At 41.6% G+C, this 24,458-nt stretch overlaps 1 protein-coding gene across 4 annotated transcripts in view, besides 1 other annotated feature; it reads left to right on the forward strand.

Annotated features, from left to right (window-relative positions):
• The window catches only part of SLC71A2 (solute carrier family 71 member 2), an 86,626-nt gene that overhangs the window by 2,973 nt on the left and 59,195 nt on the right, over window positions 1–24,458 (forward strand). The gene's annotated exons all lie outside the window — the stretch shown is intronic.
• Window positions 2,981–3,060: an enhancer, noted in NCBI's record as "active region_28631". NCBI's record gives its function as "activates an Ori minimal core promoter by ATAC-STARR-seq in GM12878 lymphoblastoid cells {active_cell/tissue: GM12878}" and the evidence as "EXISTENCE:reporter gene assay evidence [ECO:0000049][PMID:35858748]".

Genomic DNA, 24,458 nt, shown 5'->3' on the forward strand with positions numbered 1-24,458 from the left:
TTTTTTGAGATAGGGTCTTGCTGTCATCCAGGCTGCAATGGCCAGTCATGGCTCACTGCAGCCTTAAATTCTTGGGCTCAAGCAGTCCTCTCACCTCAGCCTCCTGAGTAGCTGGGACAACAGATATGTGCCACCATGCCTGGCTTTTTTTTTTTTTTTTTTTTAATTTATTTTTTGTAGAGATGAAGTCTTCCTGTTTCCCAAGCTGGTCTCAAACTCCTGGGCTCAAATGATCCTCCTGTCTCAGCCTCCCAGTGCTGGGATTATAGGTTAGAGCCATGATGCTTGGCCTGACAACTTTTTTCTACCTTATTTGGCAAAGAGATATATTGACCAGAAAAAGATACTGGCAGAGAGATGTCATAATCTGAAAAATAAAAGAGAATCAAGTATTTACTCCAAGAGATCATTTCCTTCTAGAAAAGGGAGGTGTGTCGCCGGGCACGGTGGCTCACACCTGTAATCCCAGCACTTTGGGAGGCTGACGTGGGCGGATCACAAGGTCAAGAGATCAAGACCATCCTGGCCAACATGGTGAAATCCTGTCTCTATAAAAATATAAAAGTTAGCTGGGCATGGTGGCAGGCGCCTGTAGTCCCAGCTACTCAGGAGGCTGAGGCAGGAGAATCGCTTGAACCTGGGAGGCGGAGGTTGCAGTGAGCTGAGATCGTGCCACTGCACTCCAGCCTGGCGACAGACTGCACTCCAGCCTGGCGACAGAGCGAGACTCCATTTCCAAAAAAAAAAAAAGGAGGTGTATGTTAGCTGTTTGCGTTGCTGTAAAGGAATACCTGAGAATACCTGAGACTGGGGAATTTATCAAGAAAAGTGGTTCTTTAGGCTGTACAGGAAGCTTAGCACCAGCATCTGTTTCTGGTGAGGGCCTCAGAAAGCTTGCAATCAGGACAGAAGGCGAAGGGGAAGCAGCTTATCACGTGTTGGGGAGGGAGCAAGAGAGAGAGGGGAGGAGGTGCCAGGCTCCTTTTAGCAATGAGATCTTGGCCGCGTGCGGTGGATCACTTAAGGTCAGCAGTTGGAGACCAGCGTGGCCAACATAGTGAAACCCCATCTCTACTAAAAATACAAAAATTAGCCGGGTGTGATGGTGCATACCTGTAGTCCTAGCTACCTGGGAGGCTGAGACAGGAGAATTGTTTGAAACTGGGAGGCGCCACTGCACTCCACCCTGGGTGACAGAGTGAGACTCTGTCTCAAAAACAAACAATAAACAAAACCAATCAGATCTTGTGGTAACTAATGGAGCGAGGACTCACTCATTACTGTGAGAAGGACACCAAACAATTGAGAAGAGATCAGCCCCCATGACCCAAACAGCTGCCACTAGACCCCACCTCCAACACTGGGGGTCACATTTCAACATGAGATTTGGAGGAGACAGATATCCAAATGCTATCTGCCTTAAAAACAAATTGGATAGTTTGGTTTTCTATTCTGTGGAAGAATTTGTGTAAGATTGGTAATACAGTTCTAGAACTTTATAGTTCTTGGCCTTTTGGAGATTAATTCTAGAACAGCGTAGGTTTTCTGTTTGATTTTTAGTTCTGTCAGTTTCAGTAAGTTGTGTTTTGTTGGGAATTTGCCCATTTTATCTAAAATGTCAAATTAGTTGGCATAAAGCTGTGAATAATGACCTCGTAGGCTCTTTTCACCTTCTGTAGGGATTCTTGGTGTGCATTTCCTTTTTTTTTTTTTTGAGACGGAGTTTCACTGTTGTTGCCCAGGCTGGAGTGCAATGGTGTGATCTTGGCTCACTACAGCCTCTGCCTGCCGGGTTCAAGCGATTCTCCTGCCTCAGCCTCCCATGTAGCTGGGATTACAGGCTTGTGCCACCATGCCCGGATAATTTTGTATTTTTAGTAGAGATGGGGTTGCACCATGTTGGCCAGGCTGGTCTTGAACTCCTGACCTCAGGCGATCCACCTGCCTTGGCCTCCCAAAGTGCTGGAATTACAGGCGTGAGCCACTGCGCCTGGCCCTTTTTTTTTTTTTTTTTAAGAGGTGAGGCCTCACTCTGTCATCCAGGCTGGAGTGCGGTGGCGCACAATCATAGCTTGCTGTAACCTTAAACTCCTGGGTTCAAATGATCCTCCTGCCTCAGCCTCCCTAGTAGCAAGGACTATAGGCACGTGGCACTATGCCTGGCTAGTTTTTAAATTTTTTTGTAGAGATTGGGTCTCACTGTGTTGTCCAGGCTTGTCTTGAACTCCTGGCCTCAAGTAATCCTCCAGCCTCAGCCTCTCAGAGTGCTGGGATTATAGGCATGAGCCACCATGCCTGGCTGGTACTCTGCATTGATAACTTGTGCTTTGTCTTTCAAAAAATATTTAATTTTGTAGGATCTTCTGGATAAATATTCACAAATATTGCACGTGTTGATAATTTTATATCTTATTTTGATGTTAAATGAACTAGAATATCCAGGAAAGTATTCAATGGTAATGGTAAAAGTGCATACAACCTCCTCTACGTAACAGGAATACATTAATTTTTTCTTACTGTTAGGTATCCTTTTGGCTGTATACACGTAAACATGCTTTATTACCCTATGGAAGCATTTTTGAAATTTCTCAGTTTCAGCTGGACGCGGTGGCTTACGCCTATAATCCCAGCACTTTTGGAGGCTGAGGCAGGCGGATCACGAGGTCAGGAGATTGAGACCATCCTGGCTGACGCGGTGAAACCCTGTCTCTACTAAAAATACAAAAAATTAGCCAGGCGTGGTGGTGGGCGCCTGTAGTCCCAGCTACTTGGGAGGCTGAGGCAGGAGAATGGCGTGAATCTGGGAGGTGGACCACGCTTGCAGTGAGCAGAGATCGTGCCACTGCACTCCAGCCTGGGCGACAGAGCGAGACTCTTTCTCAAAAAAAAAAAAGAAATTTCTCAGTTTCTTACATGTGTTCTCTCTTCCCCTTTTCCTCTTCCCTTCCTCCAGTTCAGCATGTCATAGAACTTTCACAAGTGGTTATGAAATCTTAGATATGCTATGGAGAAAGAGGTTATGGCATAGCAAGAGCATTGTTCTGTGAGAATTGGAGAGAAATCTATTCTTAATGTGTATTTATTTATTTATTTTTGAGACAAGAGTCTTACTGTTTCATCCAGGCTGGAGTGCAGTGGTGTGATTATGGCTCAGTGCACCCGGGAACTCCAGGGCTCAAGTGATCTTCCTGCCTCAGCCTCCTGGTAGCTGGGACTACACGTACGTCCCATCATGCCTGGCTAATTTTTAAATTTTTATTTGTAGAGATGTGCTCTTGCTTTGTTGTCCAGGCTGGTCTCGAACTCCTGGCTTCAAAGAATCCTCCTGCCTTGGCCTCCCAAAGCATTGGGATTGCAGGTGTGAGCCACTGTGCCCAGCATTAGTCTGACTTTTTTATAGTTAGCTTTGTATTTGCTTGTCTTTTTTAAACAACCTTATTCAGTTTAATTGACATAAAATAAACTGTGTGTTTGGAGTGCACAGTTTTGTGTTGTGACATATCTATACACCTGTGAAACCATTATCATAATCAAGATAGTAAACATATTCATCACCCTCAAATGTTTCTTTTTACCTCCCTCTACACCTCCATTTCCAGGCGATAATTTATCTACTCTGTCACTATATATTGGCTTGAATTTTCTTCCCCCTTTTTTTTTTTTTGAGATGGAGTTTCACTCTTGTTGCCCAGGCTGGAGTGCAATGGCGTGATAACGGCTCACCACAATCTCCGCCTCCTGGGTTCAAGTGATTCTCCTGCCTCAGCCTCCCAAGTAGTTGGGATTACAGGCATGCGCCACCATGCCAGGCTAATTTTGTATTTTTAGTAGAGACGGGGTTTCTCCATGTTGGTCAGGCTGGTCTCAAACTCCCGACCTCAGACCATCCGCCCGCCTCGGCCTCCCAAAGTGCTGGGATTACAGGCGTGAGCTACTGCCCCCAGCTGGTTTGAATTTTCTAGCTTTTTTTTTTTTTTGTTATTTTATAAATACAGCATATTCTCCTCTTTGGCTTTTAAAAAGTTCAGCATAAATTATTTTGAGATTTATCAGTGTTATGTAAATCGGTAGTTCATTCTTTTTAATTACTGAGTAGTAGTCCATTTGTGGATGAACCACGATTTGTACATTCCCTTGTTGATGGACTTTCGGCTTCTCACCAGTTTTTGGCTATTACAAATAAAGCTGCTGTGAACATCTGTGTGCCAATCTTTGTACAGAATACACTTTTTTAAAAGTAAATAGGAGTGAAATGGCTGGGTCATATGGTAGATGTATTTAACTTTTTAAGAAACTGTTGGCTGGGCATGGTGGCTCATGCGTGTAATCCCAGCACTTTGGGAGGCCGAGGCAGGAGGATTGCCTGAGCCCAGGGATTTGAGACCAGCCTGGGCAACATGGTAAGACTCCGTCTTTAAAAAAATAATAAAATAAAATAAATTGCCAAACTAATTATTTTAAAAGTAATTGTACAGTTGTACATTGCAGCTAGCACTGTATGATAATTCTAGTTCATCCATATCCTTACCAACACCTGGCCAATTTTAGCCCTTCCAATTGGTCTTTAGTGATGTCTCATTGTTCTTTTAATTTGTGCTTCCCTATGGCTAGTGGCATTCAGTATCTTTCCATAAGTTTTTTTTTTTTTCCTCCTCCGGCAGAGTCTCACTTTGGTTGCCCAGGCTGGAGTGCGGTGGCGTGATCTTGGCTCATTGCAGCCTTGACCTCCTGGGCGCAGGTAATTCTCCCACCTCAGCCTCTCGAGTAACTGGGACTACAGGCATATGCCACCATACCCAGCTAATTTTTTAATTTTTTATAGAGATGGGGTCTTACTATGTTGCCCAGACTGGTCTTGAACTCCTGGATTCAAGTCGTCCACCTGCCTCAGCCTCGCAAAGTGCTGGGATTACAGGTGTGAGCCATGTGCCCAACTTCCCTAAACTTATATGTCTTCTGTATATCCCTTTTGGCAAAGTGTCTGTTCTTGTCTTTTGCCTATTTTTTGTTGTTGTTGTTGGTTGGTTGTTTTCTTGTAATTGAGTTTTGAGAATTCGTTACATATTTGGGATGCAAGTCCCTCGTCAAATGATTTGCAAATACATTCTCTCTAGGCCGTGGTCCATCTTTTCATTCTCTCAGCAGTGTCTTGAAGAACAGGAATTTTAAATTTTGATGAAATTTATCAATTTGCTCTTTTATAGATCAGGGTTTTGGTTTCATATTTAAGAAATTGTTGCCTAATCCCAAATCATAGGAATTTCCTTCTATTTTTTCTTTTTTTTTTAGACGGAGTCTCTTTCTTTGTCGCCCAGGCTGGAGTGTAGTGGCACAATCTCTGCCCACTGCAATCTCCAGCTCACTGCAATCTCTGCCTCCCGGGTTCCAGCGATTCTCCTGCCTCAGCCTCCCGAGTAGCTGGGACTACAGGCATCCGCCACCACGCCTGGCTAATTTTTTGTATTTTTAGTAGAGTTGCAGTTTTAGTAGAGGCGGGGTTTCACCGCGCTAGCCAGGATGGTCTCAATCTCCTGACCTCGTGATCCACCTGCCTCGGCCTCCCAAAGTCTGGGATTACAGGCGTGAGTCATTGTGCTTGGCCTTCCTTCTATGTTTATGGAAGCTTTATAGTTTTAGATTTTACAATTGGGTTTGTGTTTAATTTTGATTACATTTTTATATGGTGCAAAATAAGGATGGAAATTATTTGTTTATGAACAGTTGTTCATTTGCTGAAAAATATGTTTTTATTCATTGAATAGCTTTTACATCTTTTTTTTTTTTTTTTTTTGAGATGGCGTCTTGTCCCATCGCCCATGCTAGAGTGCAGTGGCGCAATCTCGGCTCACTGCAACCTCCACTTCCCAGGTTCAAGCGATTCTCCTGCCTCAGCCTCCTGAGTAGCTGGGATTACAGGCGCACGCCACCACACCTGGCTAATTTTTGTATTTTTAATAGAGACAGGGTTTTACCATGTTGGCCAGGCTGGTCTCGAACTCCTGACCTCGTTATCCACCCATCTTGGCCTCCCAGAGTGCTGGGATTATGGGTGTGAGCCACCATGCCTGGTCTACTTTTGCATCTTTGTCAAAAATCAATTGTCCATATATTAGTCAGTCTCTGAACTCTTTATTCTGTTCCTTTGATCTATTTGTCTTTACATCAGTACCCTGCAGTCTTGATTACTGGAGGTTCATAAGACTTGAAAACTAACAGTCCCCCAATCTTGTTATTTTTTAAAGTCGTTTTAGTGATTCTGGGTCTTTGCATTTTAGAATTAGCCTGGCAATTTCCACAAGAAAGCCTTTTGGGATTGTTATTGGTATTCTTTTGCCGTGAAGATCTGTTTGGAAAGAATTGATCAAGTCTTCTGATGCATGAATGTAGTATCTCTCCATTTATTTTAGATCTGTAATTTCTTTCAGCTGAGTTTTGTAGTTTTCAGTTGACATGTCTTTCCCATCTTTTGTCAGATTATTCCGTTTCATATTTCTTGACGTTATTGTAAATGGTATCATTACATAAATGTAATTTTTTAAAATTTAAATTCACAATTGTTTGTTGCCAGCATATAGAAATACGGTTGATTTTTAAAAAATTGTTTAATTGTGGTAAAATACACATAGCAAAGAAGTTACCATCTTAACCATTCTTAAGTGTAGACTTCAGTAGTGTAAGTATATTCACATTGTTCTGCAGCCAATTTCCAGAACTACTTCTTCTTTCAAAACAAATTCTATACCCATGAAACAACAACTCCATTTTTTGCCATCCTCCCATTCCCTGACAACCACCATTCTCCTTTGTTTCTATGTGTTTGACTTACTTTAGATACCTCATATATATGGAATCATACCATATTCATCCTTATCTTTTTGTGATTGACTTATTTCATCTTGCATAATGTCCTCAAGGTTTGTCCATGTGTGCCGTGTGTCAAATTTTCCTTTTTTTTTTTTTTTTTGGACACATGGTCTCTCTCTCTGTTGCTCAGGCTGGAGTGCAGTGGCATGATCACGGCTCAGTGGAGCCTCGACCTCCCCAGGCTCAGGCGATCCTCCCACCTCAGCCTCCCAAGTAGCTGAGAGTACAGGCGCGCACGAGCAGGCCCAGCTAATTTTTGTATTTTTTGTAGAGTTGCAGTTTTGTCATGTTACCCAGGGTGGTCTCAAACTCCTGGGCTCAAGTGATACACCCGCCTTGGCCTCCCAAAGTGCGGGGATTACAGGCATGAGCCTCCATTCCTGGCCTCTTTGCCCATTTTTAAATTGGGTCATTTGCGTTTTGTTTTATTGTTGAGTTGTAAAATTCTTTATACATATATTCTGGATATTAACTCCCTGCTATGGTGCGAATGTCTCACTTTGAAACTTAATTGCCATTGTAATAGTATTAAGAGGTGGGACTGTCAGGGCTATTGAAGAAAATGGTTAAAAAAAAAATAGTGGGAACTTTAAGAAGTGATTAGGCTGTGAGGGCCCTGCCCTTAATTAATGGATTAATGCAGTGAGTTTTGTTATCCTGGTAGTAGGTTCCTTATAAAATAATGAGTTTGGCTCCCCTTTGTCTCTTTTTTGTCTTTCTGCCTTCTCCCTTGGGATAACGCAGTGAGAAGGCACTGGCCAGATGCTGTTCCCTCTCTCTTGAACTTCTCCTCCTCCAGAACTGTGAGCCAGTAAATTTCATTTCATTATAAATTACTCAGTCTGTGGTATTCTATTATAGCAGCACAAAATAGACTGAGACACTCCCTTGCAGGTAGTTGATTTGCAAATTTTCTCCCATTCCATAGGTTACCTTTTAACTCTGCTGATTGCGTCCTTTGATGCACATAAGTTTTAAATTCTGATAAAGTCCAGTGTATCTATTTTGACTTTGTTGCCTGGGTTTTTGTTGTCATATCCAAGAAGTCATTGCCAAATGCATACTATGAAGCTTTTGCCCTATGTTTTCTTCTAAGTTTTATAGTTTTAAGTCTAATGATAGGTCTTTGGTTCATTTTAAAAGTTTGTGGTTTGAGAAAGCCCAACTTCTCTCTCTCTTTTCTAGTGTTTTTAGCGTCATATATAAGAATCTATTACCAAATCCAAGATTTATCTCTTTTATGTTTTTAGCTCTTATGTGTAGGCCATTAATCCCTTTGAGTTAATTTTAATATATGGTGTGAAGTAGGGGTCCAGCTTTACTCTTTCACATGCCAAAAATTAGTTGCTCTAACAGCATTTGTTCAAGAGACCATTCTTTTATGGCACCCTTGCTCAAAATCAGTTGGCCATACATGGCTTATTTCTGGAGTTTGCATTCTGTTCCATTGGTGTATGTCTATCCTTAAGCAAGTCCCACACTGTTTTGATCACTGTGGCTTTGTAGTTTTGAAATCAGGAAGTGTGTGTTTTCCAATTTTGTAATTTTTCAAGACTGTTTTGGCTGTTTGGTGTTCTTTGCAATTCCATATGAATTTGAGGTGATCCTGAATTCTGAATAAGGACCTCCTTTTTTTTCTTTACTTATTTTTTTGAGAGAAGGTCTTGCTGTGTTGCCCAGGCTGGAGTGCAGTGGTGTGGTCGTGGCTCACTGTAATCTTAAACTCCTGGGCTTTTCCATTTCTGCAAGAAAGTCTTTGGGAATTTGATAGGGATTGTATTGAATCTGTAAATCACATTGAATAGTATTGATAGCTTAGTGATAGTAAGTCTTCCTTCCTGTGGACATAAATGTCTTTATTTAGGTGAAATTTGTTTTCGGTAACGATTTGTAGTTTTCAGTGTATAAGTCTTTCACTTCCTGGGTTAAATTTATTTTTAGGTATTTTTTTTTCTTTTAGATGCTGTTATAAATGAAATCACTTTCTTAATTTCATGTATGTATAGAACATATCGTGTTTGTATCGTTTTTCTGCATTGTCTAATCTGCAGTTATCTTATTAGGCACATTTGGAGCAGTGCTCAGTGTAGGACTAATTATTCTCCACTACTCAGGCAAGGTTTTCCTGATTTTGTACTCAGCACTATGTGAGTGAAAAAAGTTTTTTAAGGTTAGATGGTGGAAACATGCATAGGCTCAGAGTGACATCTGGCCAGATCTGTATACTGTTCAGATGTTTTTTCCCTGGTTTTTGATAGTTACGTCACATGCATGTGCTTATCAGTACCCTGCTGAATTCTTGAAGTGGATCTTCTGCAGATCTCTGGGCTTCTCTCTCTCTCTCTTCCCTCCATTACTCTGTTCTGCCTTGATCTCCATTAGCTCTCACTTTCATGTCAACTCAGAAAGTTGTCCTCCAGGCTTTGTCTGGGTTCTTCCTACCAGAGCAGAGGCCTAGAATCTGTATCAGGCAGTAAGCTGGGATAATAGTACAGCACATCTTTTCTTTCCTGATTTTCAGGGATCTCTGTCCTTTATTGCCTGGCATCCAGTGTGTCTTGGTTGTATAAAGCAGAAGGGTAATTTTGATTACTGTTAACTATTTTTTTTCCACTTTGTTAAAGATTGATTTTGTGGCTCTTTCTTGAGATGGATGAAAAACTCAGCTTTTCAGACTTTTTTTTCTACTATCCATTTATATTAATTTTACATTAACAGTTGTCTTCTCTCTGGCTTAAAAGTTTCCTCCTCTTACAAAATCAGTATTTCAATATGAATATTACTATTTTGCCCCATACTCGGTGGTTTTCTACCTTTTCTTTCCTTTCGCATCAGCCCTGGGCCATCCTTTTAATATTTTTGTGGAGAACACTCTCATGTCTACTGTGACATTCATTAAGGTGGGTGGGAAGGGGCACTTCCTAGGAAAGGCACTATGTATGATGTAAAAAAGTTTTTTCCCTCACCATCTTCATTTTCCTGTGCTTGCCACGTCCCTTTCTGCACTTACTTCTTTTGAAATCTACTGTTCTACTAGAAATCATATTAATATTGTTTATATACAGTATTAGACCTTTCCAATGAGGCAGAATAACTAAGCACCTAAAAACCTGGATGTTTTCCCGCCTTTTAAATTTAATCTTCTTAATTGAGTGTGTCTCACCTGGTTTGCTATTTTTTTTTTAAGAATTGATGAATATTCTAATCAATGTTCTAAGGAATGTGATATGCTTTTATTGACTATGACTCATCAATTCTCATGATAGTTTTGAAGTAGGTGATAGAGCAGTGCATGATTTAATGGTGAGAAACATCAGTGCATGGAGATAAATTGACTTGCTGAAAGTGACCAGGCTGACTGAACAATGGAGCTGGGACTTTCTTCATCTCTGTTCTCAAATCTAATTTTTATTTGACAGCTTAGTTCCTTATGTTGCCTATATAGGCAATTTTGTTTTTCGTATTCAAGAGTAGAGGTAGGAAGAAGACTCCTGAGTTGTCTGAGCATTGTTTTTTGTTGTTATTTGTGTGCTGTCACAGAGTTAGGCATTGTCATGTAGTCACTCCGTGCCTAAATAGCTCCCCTGCTCTACATTGTCTATTGTTAAATTAGGTCAAGCCACGAGGAGATCTGAAGAAAAACTTAAAATTCTGTGGATAATGCGCTTCTTGGTAATTACTATTCATCTGACTAATTGCTTCAATTTAAAAATAGCAAAAGTATGAATTTTATATATTAGTAGTTCTTTGTGCATAGATCTTTGAAGTACTTAAGTAATTAATGAAAGTATCTTTTGCACGTAATGTAGAATATCTCTTTATACTGTGATGCAGTAGAAGTACAGAAACTTCATTTAAGATCTGTAGCGTGGTAATATGTTCCCTGAAAAAAATAGTGGCTTTATATTTTAAATTATTAGTCAGCCAGATACATGTGAGTATCATGGGTCATGAAAAAAGAGTCATAAAATGTGTGGTGAAATGTGAAGATTATTTTTAGCTTTAGGCATCTTGAATACTGCTTTGGAGTAATCTTCAGTTCTTAAATTACCATTCTTTTGTTATATACTCCTTGGGTGGGAAACTTATGGAGGCCAGTTAATGTACACTAAAAAAAAGGCCATACCCATTGACCTGGCAATCACTCTTCAAGGAACTTACTGTAAGGCACTATTGGGACAAGACCACAGAGGTATATTTGTAAGATATGTATGTACTAATTGTATATATTCATGAAAGATTGTAACTTAAAAGGGACTTGGTGAAACAGTTGTGGCACATACATTAGGTGGAGTACTAAGCTGCCGTTAAAAGTGATGAAATGACTATATGCCTATTGATATGAATATGGTGAATTTATTTTTATGTAAATCGGCTACACAACTTTTATCACATTAAAAATACATTTATATATTTGCATGGAAAAATGTCTGGAAGGGTTTATACCAAACTTTAAAACACTAGTGATCATTGCTGATATTGAGATTTTTGTTGATTTTAATATAATTTCTTGCCTGTTTCTTTATTTTCATTTATACGTTTTCTACTAAACATGTATAAGTTACAAAGCCAAAAGAAAAAAATAAAAAGACCAGTGGAAAGGATACATGAATACTGGAAGTTAGTATTCTGGAAGTGCCTCACAGACTTCCTGGTCCCGAGTGTTTGGGTTGCCTCAAGCTCTTTCTTGTTTTCTGACCTATCTTCCGTCCTTCGCCTCATTGCCTGTCTAAGGATCCCCCTTTTGTGTGAGTTGATCCTGCTTTCAGATATATATGCACTAGAGGCTATAAGGGGCCTTAGACGCCAGTCCTAGTTTTCTCAGTATATGTATGAGAGCACTAAAGGCCAGAAAATTGGTTAAAGACAGGAAGCTATTAATAGTTAGCAGCAGAGCCAGGAATAGAACTCAGGTTTCCTTGCTTCTACTTGAGAATTTTTTCCATATTATGTGTGCTCTTCATAAGTAGGGTGATCAGACATCTCAATTTATGCCTTTTGTCTGCACTTAATTCTGGTTTTTTTTTTTTGAGACAGAGTCTCACTCTGTTGCCCAGGCTGGAGTGCAGTGGCGGGATCTCAGCTCGCTGCAACCTCCGCCTCCTGTGTTCAAGTGATTCTCTTGCCTCAGCCTCCCAAGTAGCTGGGACTACAAGCATACACCATCACCCCTAGCTAATTTTTGTATATATATATATTTTTTTCAGTAGGGACGAGGCTTCACCGTGTTGGCCAGGCTGGTCTTAAACTCCTGACCTCAAGTGTTCTGCCCGCCTTGGCCTCCCAAAGTGCTGGGATTACAGGTGTGAACCTCCGTGCCCAGCCTATGCTTAATTCTTAAAAAGGACCCCCTTTTATTCCTTATTTACTTGAGACAAGGTCTTGCCCTGTTGCCCAGGCTGGAGTGCAGTGGTACGATAATGGCTCACTTTAGCCTCAAACTCCTGGGCTTAAGTGATTCTCTCACCTCAGCCTCTGGAGTAGCTAGGACTATAGGTGTGCACCACCATGCCTGGCTAATTTGTTATTTTTTTTGCAGAGATGGGGTCTCACTATGTTGCCCAGGCTAGTCTCAAACTCTTGGCCTTAGGCAGTGCTCCCACCTCGGCCTCCCAAAGTGCTGGGATTACAGGCATTAGCCACCATGTCTGACCCCTCTTTTACTCTTAAAAGTGTCTTGGCCGGGTGCAGGGGCTCACGCCTGTAATCCCAACACTTTGGGAGGCCGAGGTGGGTGGATCACGAGGTCAAGAGATCAAGACCATCCTGGCTAACACAGTGAAACCCCATCTCTACTAAAAATACAAAAAATTAGCCGGGCGTGGTGGCGGGCACCTGTAGTCCCAGCTACTCAAAAGGCTGAGGCAGGAGAATGGCGTGAACCCAGGAGGCGGAGCTTGCAGTGAGCCGAGATCGCGCCACTGCATTCCAGCCTGGGCAACAGAGCAAGACTCCATCTCAAAGAAAAATAAAGGTTCTCGTTTGTGTGATAAATGTTTACCCCGCTCATAAGGGAAACAGACATAATGGAAAGTGTCATACAGACTAACCCTGTAACCAGGATCCATTAATAGAAATTGGAATGGTTGGAAGGAAGGGCTGTTTGTAGAGTAAGGTGCTTTTCATATGTTGAATTGAAGGTGTTGCCAGGACATCTAAGTCATTATTTTCTAGTCGGTAAAAGTAGCTGAGACGTCATTTAGAGAGGGATATGTTTGTGAGCATTTTTTGTTTGGAGATGATAGTTGAAGCTGCATCAAGACAGTCCATTCATTTTTAATCTTATTGGGGGAGGATTAGTGAGCTCAGCTTAGGAAGATGAAAGAATGGGCTACCCAGTATGATATGCGTGCCTGAGGACACATGTTGATCCCATATATGGATGTGCACATGTGACTGCTTTGATTTTTGTCTAGTGTAGACATGCCTGAACATTTATGTTTTGAAATATGTAATACTTTGTTAAATTTCTTTTCTTTCCTTCTCCTTTGTGTCACAGACCATGAAACAACTTTTTTTGATAGTGGCTGGAAAGCGTCGGGTAGTACTGATACATGCAAGGCTGGTTGATGAAGAGCACAGTCTCTAGGAATTAGGAGTACCTCAATTCAAAGGCTGCCTGTGTAACTATGCATAGCTTATTACTTCCTTTCTTCACAAGTTTAGACAAGTTTGATCATGGGAACAATGAGAAACTATGCTCATGATTGTTCTTCAGGAAGATTTATCTGATGCAGTGCCTGAGTGTGGAGAGACACAAGAGTTAAGTGATTGATAAGGAGGCAAAACCTTGGGAGAAAAGAGCTTCTGGACCAGGGTCTTGACCTAGTGGAAAAAGATTGGCTGGATGTGGTAGCTCACACCTGTAATTCCAGTACTTTGGGAGGCAGATGCAGGAGGATTGCTGGAGCCCCAGAATTTGATACCAGCCTAATGTCTCTACCAAAAAAAAAAAAAAAAAAAAAAGAGGCTGAGCTTGGCGGTGTGTGTCTGTAGTCCCAGCTACTTGGGAGGCAGAAGGATCACTTGAGCCTGGGAGGTTGAGGCTGCAGTGAGCTGTGATCAGGCCACTGCACTCCAGCCTGTGCAACAGAGCGAGACTCTGTCTTAAAAAAAAAAAAAAAGGAAAAAGGAAAGTGATTAATGTGAGAGATGTTGAGGAACTAGTAGAGGAGCTAGAAGCAGATTGAATTTTGGGGAATGAGAAAATGTAATCAGGTAAAAAATCAGTACAGTACTATCACTAGAGAAGTCAGGAGGAGAAATTAATTACTATGATTAGTTTTCTTTTGGTTTTGTTGATTTTGAGAGTGCTAACTGCACTTGGATGTGAACTCTTTAAAAAATATTTTGGCCAGGTGTGGGGGCTCAGGCCTGTAATCCTAGCACTTTGGGAGGTTGAGGCGGGCGGATTGCCTCTGTTCAGGAGTTTGAGACCAGCCTGGCCAACATAGTGAAACTCCGTCTCTACTAAATATACAAAAAATCAGCCAGGTGTGGTAGTGGGCACGTGTAGTCCCAGCTACTTGGGAGGCTGAGGCAGGAAAATCCCTTGAACGAGGTTGCAGTGAGCCGAGATTGCGCCACTGCACTCCAGCCTGGGCAACAGAGCGAGACCCTGTGTCCAAAAAAAATTTTTTTTTTTGTAGAGACAAGGTCTCACTAAATTGCCCAGGCTGGTCTTGAACCCCTGGGCTCCAATGATCCTCCTGCCTTGGCTTCCCAACGTGTTGGGATTACAGGCATGAACCATTGCGCCTTCCCCCCACCCCCTTTATTTTTTCCTGACGTGTGTTTTTGAGGCTGGATGGTGAGAAAATCTAGAGAGAGGAATCAGGGAGAGATGTTGGAGGTAGAGACACTGGTTATTTGTATCAAAGTTGTAGTGTCAACTGAGCCCATAAGATTGAAAGAGAGCAGGAGATTGAGGGGTGGGAGAAGTGATACTCTAAAGAAACTCTTGGGAATGCTGACATTTCTGATATTTTGCTCTCGTGATACATGCTGTTCATCCTTATTATTGATACTTGTTCTTGATCCTTCCTAGTGGTGGGCTTCCTATTTTCAGCATTCAGACTATACATGCCTTGTACCTTCTCTTAACTGTGGCTCCACCCTGACTTCTCATGACTCCTTAGACTGCCTTTGAGGAAGATTATAGCTGTTGTTAAATGTGTGATATCTGTCTCAGGATCTTCAGTTGAACTGAAAGATTGCAGTATAGTGGGAGTATTTTCTTTGTATTTAAAAGCATTTTTTTTTTTTTGAGACGGAGTCTCACTCTGTTGCCAGGCTGGAGTGCAGTGGTGTGATCTCGGCTTACTGCAACCTCCGCCTCCTGGGTTCAAGTGATTCTCCTGCCTCAGCCTCCCAAGTAGCTGGGACTACAGGCTTGTGCCACCATGCCCAGCTAATTTTTGTATTTTTAGTAGAGACGGGGTTTCACCATGTTGGCCAGGATGATCTCAATCTCTTGACCTTGTGATCTGCCTGCCTTGGCCTCCCAAAGTGCTGGGATCACAGGCATGAGCCACCACACCCGGCTTAAAAGCAATTTTAAGTTAAGATTACACAATGATCATCTTTAGTATTTCCTCCCAATTAAGGCATCTTATCTAGATTTTACTTTATAGGAATGGTCACATTTTGTGTCTGGGACTAATAACATGCTGCTACCACCCCCTTCTAAAAATTATCTCATGAAAAGCTAGTGATTAATTCTCTTACTGAGGTGGTTATCTTGTCTGTCCATTAGCCTCTGAACTCTTCTTGGCCATCCATGTGGAATTAGAAAGCAGGCAGAGCCAAGGAGGAGGAACAGCCATGACACTGCATGTCCAGGGGAAATGACAGTCTATCTCCTTTTGCTTTCAAGTTGCTGATATTTACTGTGTATTGTGATCTTTGAGTTGGCCATCATGTGTGGGAACAGCTTCCAACCTTATCTTTTTTTGATGGACAGCAGATGACCTGATTGATTGAGAAAAGCCAGGTGCCTAGTTCATCTGAACTTTTTGGGTCATATTGAGAAAGTAGGCGAAGGGGTTGGTAGAGACTGCCCTTTTGCTCAAGTACACAGTAGCAGGTTAGAACTCCTTAGTGTGGGGAACAGGGTTAGTGGTCAAGTGAAGGTCTACGCTTTGCTTTGCCTGAGGAACTAGCTACATTTGACTCCTGTCACTTACTCAGGTTGCTGCAATGCAGGCTGGCTGCCATATGTATGTACTGATTCTATTTGTGGAAACATTTGGGCTGTATAAGAAAAGTAATGTATTACAGTGGTTAGTAGCACATACTCTGGAGGTGTGTGACTATCTTGGTGGAATACCAGTTCATGCACTTACTATGTGAGTTGGGAAAGTTGCTTAAATTCTCTGCATCTGAGTTTGTCATCTATGAAATCGGGATAATAATAGTTCCTATCTCAAAGGTTGTAGTGAGGATAAAATGAAGGTATGTATATATAATGTGCTTTGATTAGGGCCCCGCATAATATCTGTTGCTGCTATTGTTGCTGCTGTTATAGGATAATTATACTTTTTGCCCAGATATTGCTCAGGGGTCTTTGTGATATACTCAATAACCTCTGTCCTTTTCCTTCAGAGCGTATATTTCCATTTATAATTTTACATTCCGTGAAATGAGAGCAAGGACTGTATCACCATTGTCCCCAACACCTAGCTGGTATAGTCAAGGTTAACAAATGTTTGTTGAGTGAATGAATCGTTTGGAGTTGAGTATTTTCACTCTTATAGAATGTTGGACATATACACCTACTATGTACCCACAAAAAAATAAAAAAAAAATCTTGGTAGAGATAAGAATATTTACAAAAACAGTTCTTGGCCTCTTAGTTTGCATTAATTTGGGTTGTGGTTAATAAATTGTTTGAAAAGTTGTGAAAAGCAGTTATTTTGTAAATATTTAATGAATGCTGCTTGGTCTGTCCAATGAGATAGGCATGCCATTTATTCAACCATTTAATACAGTGCTGAGAAAATTTTTATAATTTTTATAGAAAAGTTATTTTATCTGGAGAGATAACCAGTAAAATTCTTTTTTCTGCTTGTATTCCAATATTATTATTAGGTAGGGGGAGAAATTGCAAAGTCTTCAAGTATATAGTCATTTGTTTGGTTTTTAAAATGGTTCATCTTCTACATCCTTATGTTTATGTAAAAACTTTCAGATAAAGAATTTTTTTTTTTTTTCAAGATGAAGTCTCGCTCTGTCACCCAGGTTAGCGTGTGGTGGCAGGATTTCGGCTCACTGCAGTCTCCACCTCCCAGGCTCAAGTGTTCCTCTCACCTCAGCCTCCTGAATAGCTGGGACCACAGGCATGTGCCACCAGGCCCAGCTAATTTTTGTATTTTTAGTAGAGATGGGGTTTTACTACATTTCCGAGGCTGGTCTTGAAGTCCTGAGCTCCTTTGCCTCCCAAAGTGCTGGGATTACAGGTGTGAGCCACTGTGTCTGGCCCAGATAAGTAATTTTTTAGATGGAACATTTTACTAACCAGATAGCTATAAGTGATATAGGCAAAAAATAGCAAATATGTGAATTATGAAGATATTGGCAGCTTACAGTGAAACATACTTTTTAATATATGTCTTCATTACCAATACAGAAATGACTATGAGTCTTGTGGCAGTACTTTTTTTGTTTTTTTTTTTTTTTTGAGACGGTGTCTTGCTCTGTCGCCTAGGCTGGAGTGCAGTGGCGTGATCTTGGCTCACTGCAACTTCCACCTCCTGGGTTCAGGTGATTCTGCTGCCTCAGCCTCCCGAGTAGCTGGGACTACAGGCGTGCACCACCACACCTGGCTAATTTTTATATTTTTAGTAGAGAGGGGGTTTCACCATGTTGGCCAGGCTGGTCTTGAATTCCTGACCTCAAGTAATCCACCCGCCTCAGCCTCCCAAAGTGCTGGGATTACGGGGATGAACCACCATGCTTGGCCTTGTGGCAGTATGTTCAAATTAGGGAGCACTAGTTTTCAATTTGAATGTATTTTAGAATCATATTTTTTTGCTGTTTAGAAGTACAGTAGAGTCAACAGTTTAGACAGTTATATTCTTGATTTCTTAACTTGCTCATAAAAATAAAACTTGAATATTTCATTTTAAATAAGTTAGCATTGTGCAAAATGCCTATACATGATGTATTTGATAATAAGGGGATTTATTATTGCACATAAGAACTCCAGGAATAGAGTGCTTAGCACAGCAGCTTAATGATATTGCTGAGGACCTGGACTCATTATATTCTTATTTGCTCTTCCCAGTGTGCTGGCTTTGGATCTTCAGGATTGACCCCTTGTGGTCTCAAGATGACTGAGCAACTGTAGCATATCATTACACAGCAGTGCCCCCAAATTGGAAGTAAACTGTTTTGTTATGCGTCCCTTAGAGAGTGAAAAACCGTTCACAAGCCCTCCCACATGTCTTCCCTTATATCTCATTGACCACAGTTGGGCCATGTAGCTCATTCCTGTCTTAAATCATGGAATTATTATGGTTGAATTAGATTCATCTCCGGACCTAGTGAGCTCTCTGGCCTGCAGTCTCAAGATGGTGACCATGGTCAGCTTAAGCATGCAGTTAATGAAACATGAACAAAACTGAGAAGATGTTAGCAAGCGATCCTCCTCAGCCTCCTGAGTAGCTGAGGAGTGGGCAGTGTAGGAAGCCAGCCTTTTCTGCCACAACAAATGTCTGTTATCTCTGAGTTCAGGATACGTTTAGAGAAATATTACTAGAGCCTGTCTTTGAAAGAGTTGTGTATTATAGGAGGAGGATGTGTGCTAAATGGAAAAGAAGCTATAGGGATATGGCAGTGAAGTACCTGCCTCTGCTCAGGCAAGTCATGGGATATCCGCAGCTGCTCAGATAATAAATTATATGAGTATATTTGTGATATACCCATATAATTGGTATTTGTGAACTCTGCGTTGGGTTCTATTTATTCAAAGTGGAGTTGGCGCCAGGCGCAGTGGCTCACACCTGTAATCCTAGCATTTTGGGAGGCCGAGGCAGACGGATTGCCTGAGCTCAGGAGTTTGAGACCAGCCTAGGCAACATACTGAAACCCCATCTCTACTAAAATACAAAAATTAGCCAGCTGTGGTGGCACGCACCTGTAGTTTCAGCTACTGGGAAGGCTGAGGCATGAAAATGTCTTGAACCCAGGAGGCGGAGGTTGCAGTGAGGTGAGATTGCACCATTGCACTTCAGCCTGGGCAACAGATGGGGAGACTCTGTCTCCAAAAAATTAAAGTAAAATGAAAACAAAGTGGGGTGGGGTTGGCAAACTTTTTTTGTAAAGGACCTGGTAATAAATGTTGTAGGGTTTTTTTGGCCATATGTTACTCAGCTATGCCAGTATAGCACAAAAGCAGCCATAGACAGACAATATGTAAATGAACAAGCACTGCTAAATATCAGTGAAACTTTATAAAAATAAGCAGTGGACTAGATTTGGACTGTGGGCTGTAGTTAGCTAACCCCTGCTCTAATATATTTTTTTTCTTTTTTTGAGACGGAGTTTCGCTCTTCTTGCCCAGGCTGGAGTGCACTGGCAGGATCTCGGCTTACCACAACCTCTGCCTCCCGGGTTCAAGCAGTTCTCCTGCCTCAGACTCCCAAGTAGCCAGGATTACAGGCATGCGCCGCCACACCCAGCTAATTTTGTATTTTTAGTAGAGATGGGGTTTCTCCATGTTGGTCAGGCTGGTTTTGAACTCCTGACCTCAGGTGATCCACCTGCCTCAGCCTCTCAAAGTGCTGGGATTATAGGCGTGAGCCACCGTGCCCGGCCTCTAACATTTAATAGTACTAATTTTTCCTCTGTCCCTTTCTTTTTCTCCTTCAGGATGTTTTTATATTCTTGTCCATTTATTTTTTAAAATAAAACTTTTTTATAGAATAGTTTTATATCCACAGAAAAATTGCAGATAGCATAGAGTTTTCCTATACTCCATACCCATATTCCCTTATTATTAACATTTTACACTGGCATGGTACATTTGTCAAAATTAATGAGCCAGTGTCCATGCACTATTATCAGCTAAAAGCAGCCAGGCATGGTGGCTCACACTACTTTGGGACACTGAGGCCAGAGGATCACTTGAGACCAGGAGTTCAAGACCAGCTTGGGCATCGCTCTTCAAACAAGCAAAAATTACCAGGCATGGTGGTGTGTGCCTGTAGTCCCAGCTACTTGGGAGAGTGTTTGGAAAAAAAAAAAGGAAAAAAAAAATCCACTGCCAAAGAAAAAACCCCTAAAGTCCATACATACTTTACTGAGATTTCTTGTATTTTACTGAATGTTCTTTTTCTGTTCCAGTATCTCATGCTACTACATTACATTTAGTTGTTGTGTCTTCTTGGGCTCCTCTGGACTGTGACAGTTTCCTAGGCGCTCCTTGTTTCTGATGTCCTGGACAGTGTTGAGGAGGACTCATCAAGTGTTTTGTAGAATGTCTCTCAATTGAGATTAATCTTGTTGTTTTTCTCATGATTAGAGTGGAATTACGGGTGTTTGGGAAGAAGCCCATAGAGATGAAGTACCATTTTCATTATATCATATCAACAGTATGTGCCACTGTTGATGTTAACCTTGATCACCTGGCTGAGATACTGTTTATCAGATTTCTCCACTGTAAAGTTGCTCTTTTACCCGTTTCTATACTGTACACTTTGGAAGGAAGTCACTATGTGCAGCCCACGCTTTCAGAATGAGTAGTTATATTCCACCTACTTGGGGGCAGAGTGTCTGCATAAATTATTTGAAATTCCTCTGCATGGGAGATTTGCTTGTTCTTTTCTATTTAATCATTTTATCAGTATGAACTCATAGATATTTATTTTGTACTTTGGATTATCCCCAAATCCAATATTGCTTTATTTTCTTGTTCAAATTGTTCTAGCATTGGCCATTGGGAGTGCTTTGACATATATAACCCTATCTTTGTTTTTTTTTAAAACACTTATGTTCCTGGACCAAACTGAGAGTTGGGCTGCTACTTCTTAAGGCCCAATAATGAGATGCAGATGAACTGGGGAGGAAGAAAGTTTTTATTTCTGCAATGGGTTACAGGGAGAATACCTGGAAATTATCACCAGGCCAACTCAATATTACAAAGTTTCCGTAGCTTATATACCTTCTAAGTTATATGTCTACCTGTAAGTGTGCATTCATCTTAATGATTAACAACTTTTGGTCCATAACTAAGGTCTGAGTCTTGAAGACCTTCCTCTGGAGCCTCAGTACATTTACTTAATCTAAATGGGTCCAGGTGCTGGAGTGATTACCCTTATCTTGTCTCCTGCTAAATCACGGAGGTTTGGGAGTTCCTTCACACCCCAATAAACTTGTTTGTGGAGGCCTGGGAAGTTTCTTTAGACCCACAGTAAAACTTGTTTAATCCTAAATGGGCCTTAAGAATTCCTTCATTATTTTGTCATGCTTTAAGGCCCAGGAAAGGCCTAGGCAAAACTCTTGGTGGGCTTTTGTTAAATTCCAGCCTTTGCATAAGGGTACTGGCTCTTCCCCTCCCCCCCGTCGCGCCCTCCGAGATGGAGTCTTGCTCTGCTCTGTCACTGAGGCTGGAGTGCAGTGGGGCAGTCTTGGCTCACTGCAACCTCCGCCTCCTGCGTTCAAGCGATTTTCCTGCCTCAGCCTCCAAAGTAGCTGGGATTACAGGCACCTGCCACCACACCCAGCTAATATTTTTGTATTTTTAGTAGAGATGGGGTTTCACCATTTTGGCCAGGCTGGTTTCGAACTCCTGACTTCAGGTGATCCGCCCACCTTGGCCTCCCAGAGTGGCTAGGATTACAGATGTGAGCCATCGTGCCCGGCCGGCTCTTTCAGCTTTTAACATTTAACTTAACTACTCAGTCTGTACAGAAACAGTTGTTTTGGGGGCCTGAGTTAGTGAGACCTGGCTTGCCATGCTTATATTCTGGGATTACAAGATACTCCACGCTCCTCTTACATATTTCCCACTCTAGTCCCAGAATTAGCTGTTTCTCCAAGGAGCCCTGGTTTCTTTTATTTGAGAATGGCATTTGAAACCAAGATGTGTCACACTAGATATGCTTATTGCCGTTGAGTTTCTAGGGTGTAGTTTCTTTCAGGCTCTTTCAGCTGATAGAGTGTGAGGAAACAGGTGTATATAATACACACATTTGTAAGTATTTCCATTTGTGACCATCTGTATCTATATGAAGTTAAAAATGAGTTCATAATGATGTGCTCAACTCTAATCCATGATTACATGGATCATTCTTGCTTCCTTCTCTTGTTTATTTGTAACCTTCCACTCCAGCAGTGAGAAACCTGGCTTCCACCATCTGCCATCCAGTTTATTTAATTGGTCAGTCACAGCATACATGGTTCCAGAATTGTTAATCTTTATTTCCATGGGGTACAACTTTCAACTATAGCATAACAGTGTTTAAGTTACAGAAATGCCAGGTGGTCGATCTAGGTCTTGTTTCTCGCCACACAGAAAGCCAATCACTGAGGTGAGTATTGCCGGGGAAAAAGCCTTTTTTTTTTTTTTTGAGATGGAGTTTCGCTTTTGTTGCCCAGGCTGGAGTGCAATGGTGCGATCTCGGCTCACTACAACCTCTGCCTCCTGGGTTCATGCGATTCTCCTGCCTCAGCCTCCCGAGTAGCTGGGATTACAGGCGTGTGCCACCACGGTGGCCTGGCTAATTTTGTATTTTTAGTAGAGATGGGAGGTTTCCCCATGTTGGCCAGGCTGGTCTCAAACTCATGATCTCAAGTGATCCGCCCGTCTAGGCCTCCCAAAGTTCTGGGATTACACCCAGAGCCACTGCGCCCGGCCAGAGAAAAATTTTGCCTTTTTATTTAGGTGTTGCCTACTGAAGAGAATGGGAGATCAGTTTCGAATCTGCCTCCTCGACCAACTAAAACTGGGGAGTTTATGTACCGAAAAAAGGAATGTAACTATGTGTGAGGAAAACAGCAATTAGGAAAAGGATAAGGAAGCAGTCCTGACCTATGAGGGGAAAGAGGTGTCTGGGGTCTCATTGTCAAATGGTGATTTGGTGAGTTTCAGTCCGTTGCCTGAGGAAAGAACTCATTGGAGACAAATATAAGTTTTAGGTTTTAAAACTGGAAGGGTCAGTTTCTATGTTTATTCAAAGACCTGTACATATAATTTCTATGGGGAAATTGAGCCAGTTTCATTTATGCGCAACTTTTTTTGCCTCCAGTCTTAAAGGAAAAAAAAAAAACAACTGATAATATTTGTTGCCTATGATAAAATTCCAGCTTCCAAATGAAAAAAAAAAAAAGACTCCACTATTTCCCAGAGTTACTTGGATCACTGCCTTTCCCCATACCCCCTTTAGTGAGGTTGTTTCCTGTGTTTGTACTGCAATTAGATTCTTTTGCTACATTCTGCGTTCCATCCTGGGATTCTCCACCTCTGAAATGTTTTCTAAAAGTTAACATGTACTGAGGCTCACTCTTGTTCTCTGAAGTTCTGCTGGTTTTGAAAAATGCGTGGTGCCGTTTACCTATCATTAAAATATCATACAGAACAATTTTACTACCTGAAAGTGTCCTGTGCTTCATCCATTTAACCCTACCCTCCAACTCCAGCTACCACTGATCTGGTACTATCTATAGTTTTGCTTTTTCCGGAATGCCCTTTAAATGGTATCTTACACTTTGTAGCCTTTCAGACTTGCTTCTTTCATTTAGCAATATGCATTTCAGATCCATCCTTCTAACAATCTTGTTGTTTTAATTTGCATTTTAAAATGACAGTGACACATAATGAACATCTTTTCTTTTCCTTTTTTTTTTTTGAGACGGAGTTTCGCTCTTTCATGTGGGGTCAACTGCAATAGAAAAGAGGACCCTCAAACACAGGCTAATTTTTTTGTTGTTGTTTTTGAAACGGAGTCTCACTCTGTCACCCAGGCTGGAGTGCAGTGGCGCGATCTTGGCTCACTGCAACCTCCGCCTTCCGATTTCAAGCATTTTCTCCTGCCTCAGCCTCCCAAGTAGCTGGGATTACAGGCGTCCGCCACCACAACCAGCAAATTTTTTTGTATTTTTAGTAGAGATGGGGTTTCACCGTGTTGGCCAGGCTGGTCTTGAACTCCTGACCTCAGGTGATCAAGACCTGGGCCTCCCAAAGTCCTGGGATTACAGGCGTGAGCCACTGCGCCCAGCAATGAACATCTTTTTATAGGCATATTTGCCATCTGTATATCATCTTTGAGGAGACTGTTGCGGTCCTGTCACCCCTCCCCCTTTTTCTTGTTGACGATCGGGATTTATTACCTCATTTAACAAGAAATCTGATGGAAAGACAGTTCCAGGATTGGTCCTTGATTTTGCGTCAAGGACCAGGTTCTTTCCATCTTCAGTGTGTTGATTTGTCTGGCTCTCATGGTCTCAAGATGGCTGCCATAGTTCAGTTACAGGAAAGGGGTCCCAATCCAGACTCCAAGAGAGGATTCCTGGATAGACCTCGAACAAGAAAGAATTCAGGGCAAGTCCCTAAAGTGAAAGCAAGTTTATTAGGAAAGTAGAGGAACAAAAGAATG

The sequence above is a fragment of the Homo sapiens genome, chromosome 9, assembly GCF_000001405.40.
Source record: "Homo sapiens chromosome 9, GRCh38.p14 Primary Assembly".
Taxonomy (NCBI): Eukaryota; Metazoa; Chordata; class Mammalia; order Primates; family Hominidae; genus Homo; species Homo sapiens.